The sequence below is a fragment of the Homo sapiens genome, chromosome 1 (genome assembly GCF_000001405.40).
Source record: "Homo sapiens chromosome 1, GRCh38.p14 Primary Assembly".
Lineage (NCBI taxonomy): Eukaryota > Metazoa > Chordata > Mammalia > Primates > Hominidae > Homo > Homo sapiens.
The window spans coordinates 49,691,965-49,704,586 of NC_000001.11; the positions used below are offsets into that span (position 1 = coordinate 49,691,965).

Below are 12,622 nucleotides of genomic sequence, written 5' to 3' on the forward strand. Positions count from 1 at the left end.
AGTTAATACTTAATAAACTCCCCATATATAATCATCAGATCTCATGAGACTTAGTCACTATCATGAGAACAACACAGGAAAGACCTGCCCCCATGATTGTTTTTCGCCAGGTCCCTCCCACAACACATGGGAATCAAGATGAGCTTTGGGTGGGGACACAGCCAAACCATATTAGTAGTCTCTTTACTTAACATTGTCTTGTTTAATTTTCACAAGACCCCTATGAATTAGTATTATTACTTTCATTTTACAGATGAGAAAACTGAGGTACCAAGAGATTATTTAAACTGATCACAGGTAAAACGGCTCATAAGTAAGAGTCAGAAATATAAACCAAAATTGGTTTAAATCCATTGTCTGTGCTAATTCCACTGTGATATGCTGCCTTTGTGGACTGCTGATTTTGACCATGGCCAGGATGAAATTTCAGAGCCTGAATTCTCCAGAATGGAGACTAAAGAAGCAGCAAACTGGCCAGACACAGTGGCTCACGCCTGTAATCCCAGCACTTTGGGAGGCTGAGGCGGGTGGATCACGAGGTCAGGAGATCGAGACCATCCTGGCTAGCACGGTGAAACCCCGACTCTACTAAAAATACAAAAAATTAGCTGGGCATGGTGGCAGGTGCCTGTGGTCAGAGCTGCTCAGGAGGATGAGGCAGGAGAATGGCGTGAAACTGGGAGGCGGAGCTTGCAGTGAGCCAAGATCGCGCCACTGCACTCCAGCCTAGACGACAGAAAAAGACTCTGTCTCAAAAAAAAAAAAAAAGAGCAGCAAACTTTCTCAGAATCTTAAAGGGAAATTTAAACACATCTATGTAAAAGTGTGTATGTGTGCATGTGTATGTTTAAACTACATTATTTCTTATAGTAATCCAAGAAATACTATATTGTTAAACACTTCTTTTTTTAAAATCTCCTATTACATACATCAGACGACAATCTATTGGCAATCCCAGGTAAAACAGGATTGATGAATTGAGAAAAGGAGTCAAAATAATAACTCTATCTGTTTTGATGTCTCATGTTATTGCTGGAATGCAATTAATTTATGACTAGAGGCCTGAGACATTGCATCATATCCCATTTATCTGTGTGAAGTTTCAAAACAAGTGAGGAAAAAGTAACAATTTATTATGGATTTCTGAACACTGGAGTTTATAAAACAAAGCAAGAAATTCAAATAAAGGAATCTTATTCACTGCTGATAGGACAGTAAAATAGTATAAACTTTCTGGCATCAATTTAGATATATGTGTAAAGAGTCTTTAAAATGTTCATATCCCTTTGCCTATCATTTCCTCTCATAGGAATTTATCCTAAGGAAGCAAAATAAAATTTGGGTAACATTTCCTGCATCAAGATGTTCACTACATTGTTACTTATAACAACAACAAATGGAAAATAATCTTTATGACCAAGAATAAAGAGCTATTAATATTTTATAGCCATATTTATCAAACTTTTGATAACAGAAAATTGTCTGTGATAATATTTAGGTTCTTTAGAAGCAAAACATGAAAATGTATATACAGTACAAATTTAATTATGCTCCACGATAGAAAATAAATAAGTTTAGAAATAAATATGCCAAAAAAATTAACAGTATTTGCTTCCAGTTAGTAAAATTGTAATTTTTGTGTGTGTGGGGGGGTGCTTTTTCTCTGCTTCAAATAATTATATTTCCCAAATTTACTATATTGCACATTGACTATTTTTACAATAAAAATGGGAAAAATAACTTCAAAAAGATAAAAAAATACAAAAAAGAAATAGAGCTTAATCAATCCAAGCATATCATTTTATTTTCTCTTATTGGCTGAACTTTTAGCATATTTAAATAAGAAGATCTGCTTTCATATCACACAAGTGCTCTCAGCTGCATTAATACATTTCCACTAAGAATATTTAATATCAGTTTTTTAGAGAGAAAATCACCTTTCCATAAAGGAATCTGGACATTTAGTTTTCATTGATTCTTGCAAATGCACTATTGAGCAACTACTTTTACGGGTTAATATATCAGTCCTGGGATACAACACCATATGCTGCGAGCTTTTATTATTTCCTAGAAACATCAAGAAATACAACGCAAAAGCTAGACCTGTTTATACAATATATTTGATGCTGCAATTTTTAAAATTTATTTAATGGAGTCAGCCTGCAATGACTAATACATACATGTTTTTTTGCCTGCTAGTAGTACCAAGACCTAAATAACGTTCTTGACTAGATTACACTTATGCAGGTCTCATTTTAACGGAAATTTGAGAGATGAAAAAAAGATTATAGAAAGAGATGCTATAAAAACAGACCTCACAAGTCAAACTTCATAGTAAAACTATTTTCTTTAACGTAGACTACCATGAAAACAAACATCCTGTGAGCTAGAGATATATATTGTATCTTTCCTGCAGATCTTTATGCCTTCTTGCGACAGATTTCCATAATGTGATTACAGTTGATGAGGCAATGGCCCACAGAAAGAGGCTGATAAAAGCATCAGGCTCCAGGAAACCAGATAAACATGTTCATGATTTCTAATTGGAACAAGGATAGGATAGCACTCTATATGCAGACAGAACCCAGAGACAGGGAAAATATTGGTCCCTTCAACTTTAATAAATATGCATCCACAAAACAGACCCAACTCTCTTGTAAGAGTAACCCTTTAAAAAACATTCATGTTACTTGCACAGTTAATTGATAGATAAGATTGCAAAAGAGGCTGTATAGCTTCGACATGTAATAAGTAAGTTATAACACTCTGGCAGAGACATTTTGAACAACAAAAAGAACATCCTCGTAAACAAACTAGAAGAGCAAAGAACATTGTGTGAGAAACTTGTCCAAAAGGCTATCTCAAGTAGTTTAACTGAAGGAACACATTTTTCCTAACTCTCTTATCATCTCACCCCTCTACCCCTCCTTGTATAAGCTGTATAAAGATAATCTTTATAGACACTTAAGTGAAAGAAAAACTGGGCCAGGAATTTAATGTGACCCAAAGTTAAAGAAACAGTATAATTTCAGAGCTTCTGCTAAATCTCTATTTAGCAAAGAACACAATGAGGATAGATGATTCTCTTGTTTGAAAAGTAATTGGCCCCACTTCTTAGGAGTTAGTGGGTTCCTGGATCCAGCAGGCAAGCTGAGGGATGTGCTATGAAAAAAAAAGAGGAAAAGAATAATTCCCTTTATGAATTTAGAAATCATGGCAGATTATACTGCTTCTAAGAAAATGTTTTCCTTCCTTCATATGAATTGACTACACTGCTTCAGAATTATTGTTTGTTTTCCAGAGGTATGTGTTTGTGACAACCATAAGTTGCTGATATGAGACAGGAACATTAACAAAAGAATGAAAGAGGTAATGAAGAAAATCTCATAGGGGTCCCAAATTTGAAGTGAAAGACTCAGTCTAGTACATGTGACTAAAGCCGCCTATCGTGGATTATATTCTCTAGATTCAGTAACACAGACTTTGGAAAATATACTTTAAGGATTATTGATTGTCTTAGTGGAACAAGTAGGACAATCCTAGAATCAGGTGAACCCCTGTAGGTAAAGAGAGGGTTTTCCTAAGATCAGGGGAAAGAGAATGCCTACTGTTACTGTGAAAAACTGAAAAGGGAACTCTGCCATAGGAGAGTAAATAAAACCAAAAAGCAAAGCTAGGAACTAAAGTTTGTCCTTAAGAGGCTCTCTGTGTGTGGTGTAACTTTTTCTCCCTTGTCCTAAAATTCTGAGACAAGTCAGATTTAGCAAATAATGTTCAGGACTCTTCCCTAGATTTGATTCCTTCCTGTTGGCCCCTAAACTTTAGTAAATATTGCATACACTCAGTCTTGTGTCCATGGTGTTGTACAAAATTAAAGTATCAAAGCAAAGTGGCTGTATTTGCACCCCCTTTTTGCTGAAGCTAGCATGCCAGGAATAATATTGTATAGAAGAAGGCTCAGAGTCCCTAAATTCAAGACACTGGCCACTGTCTGACACACAAGTCAAGTTGCAGTTGAGATAAAATGATGAGAAGCAAGCAATCAAGGGATAGAGCAAGCAGAATAGATTGACTCAGGAGAAGCTAAACTCCCTAGGAGAAGCTAAACTCCCTACTTTTTCCCAAATATACTAGCAAAAGACAACATAAAGTAAGAAGGTAGATGTTGGATTGCAGGACTATGCTTTCATCTGCTTAAAACAATCATAATCTCACTATGTGTACAAAGCTTGTACAGAGTCTTCCATGATCAGTTGTCTCAATATAACGGAATAGTAACTGATATCTTACGATTTGAGTTTTATTAATGTTTATTCAAGCATACGTTTTTAGTTCCCTTTATTTTCATCAATACTGTCTCTCATGAAAAATAGGATTCGAAAGTATTATAAAAACGTGCACTATTAAAAAAATGTAGCTGAAGAAATTATGGTTAAAAGCAGATTAATACGTTCAAAATACAAGTTGAGAATCCCTCATCTGGAAATCGAAAATCTAAAATGCTCCAAAATCCAAAACTTTTTGAGCACTGAAATGATGCCACAAATGGAAAATAATAGTTTTTCATGGACAAAATTATTCAAAGTATTGTATAAAATTACTTCCAGGCTATGTATACAAGATGTATATGAAATATAAATGAATTTCATGTTCAGACTTGGGTACCCTCCCCAACATATTTCAGTATGTATTATATATGCAAATATTTCAAAATCTGAAAAAAAAACTGAAACACTTCTGGTCCCACGCGTTTAAGATAAGCTATACTCAACTTGTAAAAGCAAAGTCAGTACACAGAAGCACAAGCAAAAATATTTTCCAGAATCACTAGAGAGGGCTGTAAATATGGTTCCGAGTTTCCCAGCAGCCAAAGCAAAGGGAAAATAGGATCAGTTACAAGAATCATATTGTCTTAAAGATATAAACACTCTGTTGTACAGAAGAAAAGCTTCTCTTTTGAAACTGAGACTTGTGAGAAATGTTTCTCACAGATCTTTATAAAGAAGAGACAATAGAGAACAATACCCTTTGTAAACATAATAGCAAGTCTCTTCCAGTGTTTCCTTATAGTGTCCCTCAAGGAATCCTAACATATCATGCTAATGCTTCAATCAGTAAGGAACACTTTATTCTCAGATGAAATATTTGTATTATTTAATAACCATCAGATAACAAAAGTCAACATATTGTATCTATTTCTCTGCATCTCTTGAACCAAAACTGTATCATTGCTGTGGATAAACAAGAATATATTCTTAATATAGTCATTATTTTGATATTTCTAAAAGAAGACAAAAGCATATTATTCTTACCAAAACCACTCTGAAGGTATCCACTATTTCCCTCACCTGTGATTCTTTCACATTTTCAACAGTAAAGTTGAACCAGACTCGGAAGCGTGGATTACAGGTGTCCGGCCTAATGAACAGATCATACTCAAACTCAGAGACCTGGTCCACCCGGCCCAGGTTACCTGGTAATAAAAATTAAGAGAATTGGATTTTAATAGAAGTTCATGCAGCTCAATGGTACACACATTTAAATATTATGCTCTCTGATAGTGGCATTTGTCAACATTCAGTACTTGAAGGTTCAGTGTTCACAATCCAAAGGGCTGCCAAGTCTGAATGCAGCCCAGAGTAAGAAAAGCTTTCATCTAGGCCAGGCTGTGGTGCAAGCTTCTCTGCCTGGCCCTTCTGACCCAGATCCTTTTATGCTACAAGTATCTTTGACAGACCAGGATATTATATAAAGCCTGTGGTAAGCCCCTATAAACCAAGAGAAGAATGGCAAACTTTGGTTTCTTACATAGAAAAGTGAGGATGATAATACCTTATGTATTTTGTATTAAGCTTCATTGTATACAAACTACCTGTAATACATTGGATCTTGTTTAATTTTTACAACAGGCATATATGGTTTGTACTGAGCTTCTTATATCCTAAACTTCTATCAGAATATGTTAAAGAATATGTACAGTAAGGTTTTAAACAAAAATTAGAAGTAATTGCTACATAAGAATAACACAATCATGAAACCTAATTTCCATTTTCTCCAACAACAGAACTAACAGTTATATAAAAAATGTGTAAACTTAGGTGTTATCTCCATTTTCCATATTGTCTCTCCTTTTTCTCACTGATATTCTAATGAGCAGTGAATTGTTAGAGAGGCAAGATATTTGTTACACAATGGTACTGAATTTGGAGTCAGAAGAACTAGTTTAGTTTTAGTTCTGGAACTAACTAAGCAACTTTAGACAATTCACTTAACCTCTTCCAACATCTGTTTCCTCAACTATAAAGTTAGAATCATATTAATAGAAACATGAAAATTTATTTCTATGCCAACTACTACGAACACTAGTTGAAATTAACGTACACAATGTATATGAATATTAAGTTTTGATAGAAAATTAAAGTTTTCTGAGCATTTCTACAGGCCACATACTGTCCTAAATGCTAAATGAACTAAACTATTTGATCCTCTCAACAACTCCTATGAGGTAGAGACCATTACTATCCCCATTTTACATCTGAGAAAACCAAGGTACAGAGAACTTACCCAAAGTTATACAGCAAGTAAACAAGTAAAAGTCACATTTGGGATTTGAATTCAAGGAACCTGGCTCTAACCACTAGACAATATAGCTGTCTACCTAACAGAGCTGGTAGGAATAATAAACAAATAACATAAATTGAAAGCACATTTTAAGTGGTAAGGCTTAATAAAATTACTATTCTTAAAATAACAAGAAGTTGAAAAGGTACTTTTTTCCCTCTAAAAGTTCATGATATAAAAATTAAATATTAATATTCACTTCAATATTCAAAGAAATGCAGATTTTCATTTTGTTCTTCATACTAAAAAAGTATAAATGGGTTTTGATAAACAATATCTTAAAATTACTGTGGCATATAGTGTCCAATAATAATCCACCATATGTGTCTACAAATTTGTAGTTTCAAAATGATTTGACATCTTTTATATTATTAAATCCTCACCATGACCCAGTGATAGGTAAATTGAAACCCAGAAATGTTTAGTGCTTGCTTAAGTTCATGTTTTAAAGCACCAGGGTGAGACCATAAATTAAACACTTCTGATTTCATTGTGTTTTTCTTTCAGAATCTACCATAGCTACAACCAATTCATTTATTAAGCCATTTAATCAGTAATTCATTCAAAAGGCACTATGCTTTGTGTTATAAAAGAAACTAGATAGTATCAAACATATACTTTCTTTGTGCTCACTAAGCTTATAGTCTGAAAGAATAGTGAACATCTGGTCTTTGGCCTTCTGCAACTACTCTGTTGACCTTCTTCATCATTCTTGTGATGAGCATTCTCTGTATGTGTGTGTGTGTACATAAAAAATACTTTCCTTATACACAATTAAGTGCCAGTTTATGGCCTTCTGGAAATAACTATTTCAGAATAAGTTAATAATGCCTCCATATCACCTGGTTCTCTTTCATTAAATGAAACACAAGGAAAGAAAACAAACACAATCTAAAATACATAGGTAGGACAAATATAACACAGAACATAAGCTGTAGATTTTATACCCAAATATATCACTAAATGTGTTATATGTAAATGGATTAAAATTATAATTAAGACAAACTGGATGAACCTGGAGTACATTATGCTAAGTTAAATAAGCCAGACGCAAAAAGAAAAATATTGCATGACTTGACTTATATGTAGAATCTGAAAGAAAAAAAGCCAAACACACAGAAACAGAAAATAAAATGGTGGTTACCAGGGGCAGATGGTGGTGGACAAAATGAGATATGTAGGTCAAAGAGTAGAAAATCACAGTTATGTATGATGACTAAACCTAGAGATCATGTACAGCATGAGGATTATAGTTAATAATATTATATATCATACTGGAAATGTGCTTAGAAAGTAGATTGTAGTTGCTTTTACCATGCATACATATACCAAAAAAGTTAACTATATGAGATAATGAATATGCTAATTTGCTTGACTTTGGTAGTCATTGCATTATGTATATCAAAACATAATGTTCTACATCTTATATATATAAAATAAAATAATTTTTTAAATACAAGACAAAATTTTATTTTGGATATAATATCAACTATATGTTGCTTATAAATGCAAGCTTTCCTTTTAGGAGCACAAAAAGATTGAAAATAAAATGACAAAAAGTTTTAACAGAAAAGCACTATTAATAAGAAAGCAAATGTAACTATACTTATATCAGACAACATAGACTATAAATCAAGTAACATTACTAGAAATGAATAGGGGTATTTCATTTTGAAAAAGGGTAATTCCACCAAGAACATATAAAAACATTAAATAGATAGATAGATAGATAGATAGATAGATAGATAGATAGATAGACAGATAGATCTTTAAAGTATGTAAGTAAAATTTGACAAAATTAAAACATAGATTAATCTAGAATCAAAATGAGAAATTTAACACACCAATATCCCTTACTGTAAAAAATACCAAAAGAAATATTCAGCAAAGGATTGAGATAATTTGAAAACATGATTTTAAAAATACCTAGTTTTAATTATGAAACACATTACATTTATAGAACTAAATAATATACATTCTTTTCAAATGTACATGATGTTCTTCTCAAAACTGATCATATGCTCGTCCATAAAGCAAGTCCCAACTAATTTCAAAGGAGTGATATCATACTGCATGTGTTCTCTCATTTAAGTAATAATATTTTAAACTAAATTGTGTTCAATATGTGAGAATCAAAATGTGTAAAATATAGCTAAATCCACTCTAAGATGTAAATTTATAACCATACATGCACATACATATACATATATAGTTACAGATGATTAATTTTTCAATGATTTACACATGTGGATAAAGATCAATGATCCATGCTTCTGTTTTAAAGAGGTAAAAAAAGATGGTATTTTCAAAACAAAAAGCAGAGGCAAGCAAAAAGAACAGAAAATGTTAAAAAAAATTATCTGAATGTACCCTAAAAATTTTAAATGTGAAAGTTTGATACTTTGAAATAGACTTTTAATATTAAAAAACTCTTAACAAAGCTCACCAAGAAGAAATAAACCACATATTATTAATATCAAAATAATAAAAAGAGATTGAATTCATCAGGATGGTAAAATAGGTGGTTTTAGCTCTAATATCCCCAGATAAATACTGGTTTAATAACCATTCATGGTGGTGCCTGTAATCCCAGGTACATGGGAGGCTTAGGCAGCAGAATCACTTGCACCTAGGAGGTGGAGGATGTAGTAAGCCAAGATGGCGCCACTGCACTCCAGCCTGGGTAACAGAGTGAGACTCTGTCTCAAAAAAAAAAAATGTAATGTATACACATTAAGATTTGCTAAGAGAGTAGATCTTATGTTAAGTATTTTTATCACAAAAATAGTAATAATATATAAAGAAAGCAGAAGGAAACTTTTGGAGGTAATGGATATATTTATGGATAAGCCTGTGGTAATGGTTTCACAGATGTATAGTTATATAGTTATCTCCAAACTCATCAAATTGTATACAACAAATATGTGCAGCTTTTTGTGTGTCAATCATACCTCAAAAAAAGTGATTTAAAGAAAAAATAATACTTGGGGGAAAAGGAAAAAAGAGCAAAATAAACCCAAAGAAAGCAGAATAAAGATAATAATAAAGACAAGAGTAGAAATAAATGACATAGAGAATAGAAAACATTACTGAAAGCCAATAAACACAAAATTCTTCCTTTGAAGTGATCAACAAAAGTGACAACTTTAAATTGATTGGCTAACAAAAAAGAGAAAGGACTCTAATTTGTAAAATCAGAAATTAAACAGAGGACATACTATAACCAACTGTACGTCAAAAAATTAAATAACCTAAATGAAATGGCATTTGTCGTTTTAACAGAAAAGCACTATCAATAAGAAGCAAATGTAACTATACTTATATCAGACAACATAGACTATAAATCAAGTAACATTACTAGAAATGAATAGCGGTATTTCATGATGAAAAAGGGTAATTCCACCAAGAACATATAAAAACATTAAATAGATAGATAAAGTATGTTGTCTGGAAAGACAACAAACAAAGTTGACTAAAAATAAATATGGATATCTGAATAGATCTAAAACAAGTAGTATTAAATTAATAATCAAAAAACTTCCCACCAGGAAAATTCTATGTCCAAATGTTTTCACAGATAAATTCTGTAAAATTAAAACTTGTTAAAAAATTAACACCAATTCTTGACTGGGTGTGGTGGCTCACACCTGTAATCCCAGCACTTTGGGAGGCCAAGGCAGGCAGATTACAAGGTCAAGAGATGGAGACCATCCTGGCCAACATGGTGAAAACTCGTCTCTACTAAAAATACAAAAATTAGCTGGGCATAGTGGTGCATGCCTGTAGTCCCAGCTACTCGGGAGGCTGAGGAAGGAGAATCACTTGATCCCGGGAGGCAGAGGTTGCAGTGAGCCAAGATCGTGCCACTGCACTCCAGCCTAGTGATAGAGCGAGGCTCCGTCCCAAAAAAATAAAATAAAATAACACCAATTCTTCACAAACTCTTGCCAAAAAAAATTGAAGAAAAGATAACACTTTCAAACTCATTCTATGAAACCAGGATTACCTGGATCCTAAAATCAGATGGAGAGATCATGATGACAAAAACAAAAACAATAACAAATAAAAAATACAGAACAACATCCCTATAAATATAAACTCAAAAATCTTCAAAGAAATACTAACAAACTGAATCTAGCAACATAAAAAATGATTATACACCATGACAGGTGAGATTTATCCCAGAAATTCAAAGTTGGTACAACACACGAAAATCAACTAATGCAATATAACACATTATTAAAATAAAGACCAAAAACACAAGGATCATCTAATAGATGCATAAAAAAAATCTGACAAAATCTTACACATTTCATGATAAGAATACTCAAGATGAACACAAGGGACCTTCCTCAAACTCATAAAGAGTATATTTGAAAAACACACAGCTAACAGCCCACTTAATGGTGAAAGACTGAACATTATCCCTCTAAGATCAGGGAGAAGATAAGCATCTTTGCTTTTGCCATTTCTATTCAAAATTGTTGTGGAGATTCCAGGAAGGACAAGTATGCCAGAAAAAAAAGCATTCATATTGAAAAGGAAGAAATAAAATTATTTCTATTTGCAGATGACATAATTTTTATGCAGAAAAACCTAAGGAATCCACATACCAAAAAAAAAAAACTATTTGAGCTAAAAAACAATTTCAGTAAAGTTTCAGAATAAAATCCATATACAAAATCAATTGTATCTCTATATGCCAGCAATGAACATTCTTAAAATAAAATAATTCCATTTACAATAGCATCAAAATAATACTTAGTATAAGTTAACAAAAGAAATGCCAATAGATTTAATCCAAGAAGGCAAGTTTCTTTTAACACTTAAAAAGCAAGCAACATAATTCACCATATGGACAAAATAAAGGAGAATAACCTTAAGATTATTTCAGTAGATGCTGAAAAAACATTTGACAAATTCCACACGCATTCATGATTAAAAAAAAAAAACACTTCCATCAAACTTCAACTAGTAGGAAACTTCCTGATACTGACAAAGGGCATGAAATGAAAACAAAAATGTAGCACTAATATCATACTTAATGGTACAATATTTAATTATTTATCCGAGATCAAGCATGTAGGGTGTCCTTCTATTCAACATTTTTATAAAGACCCAAGCTATTGCAATACAGCAAGAAAAACAAATAAAAGACATAAAGATTAGGAAAGAGGAAATAATACTAGAACTTTCCTTACTTACAGATGAGAGTGTTATTTACATAGATTTTTCTATGTAAAGAATAGAAAATTGACAACATAACTACTTGAGCCAATAAATAAATTTAGCAAAGTCACGAAGTGAATATATGAAAATAACTGCAGTAGCAACAAGCAATGGCACTACCAGCAAAAAATTAAAAATAAAATTTTAAGGATCCCATCCATGGTTGAAACAAAAAACCACAAGATACCTAGAAATAAATCTAACCAAAGATATCCAAGTCTTTTGCACTAAAAACTACAAAATATTATCGAGAGAATTTGAAGAATACCTTAAAATGGTATTTCTCCCCAATGTATGTATACAGATTCAGAGGAACCACAATCAAATTCTGGAAGCCTTTTTGTAGAAATTGATTATCTCATTCTACATTGTACGCAAAAATGTAATATAATATCATAAAAGCAATTTTAGTGAAAACTGTTATAAATTTAGTAATCAAGACAGTTTGGTATTTCAAAATGATAGACCTTTACATGTATGAAACAGAATGGAGAGTACAGAAATAGGCCCACATATTTATGAGCAATTTACTTTAACAAAGATGACAAGGAAATTTAATAAAGAGGTAAGTATTTTAATGAGTAATGTTCAATATAAATAATTAACCCTTACTGAAAATCTTATACAAAAATTACCTCAAAATGGATCATAGACACAAATATAAAACCCAAAATTATAACATGTGTAGAAGAAAATATAAAAGAATGATACTGCCTAGGTTTTCTTCTAGGGTTTTTATTGTTCTAGGTCTTACCTTTAAATTTTTAATACA

The 12,622-nt window shown here is 32.4% G+C and overlaps 1 protein-coding gene across 10 annotated transcripts in view; it reads right to left on the bottom strand.

Annotated features, from left to right (window-relative positions):
• AGBL4 (AGBL carboxypeptidase 4) overlaps positions 1-12,622 on the bottom strand; it is a 1,501,444-nt gene that overhangs the window by 1,169,454 nt on the left and 319,368 nt on the right. For 5 of the 10 annotated variants that reach the window (XM_017002595.3, NM_001323575.2, NM_032785.4 and 2 more), the window contains exon 3: positions 5,349-5,473. The exons of 1 other annotated variant lie outside the window; for it this stretch is intronic. In XM_017002595.3, coding sequence (XP_016858084.1) covers positions 5,349-5,473 — 125 coding nt within the window. Of the gene's footprint in view, positions 1-5,312; positions 5,474-12,622 lie in introns of all 10 variants that reach the window. 4 more of the 10 variants (NM_001323573.2, NM_001323574.2, XM_011542308.3 and 1 more) reach the window with 1 other exon arrangement.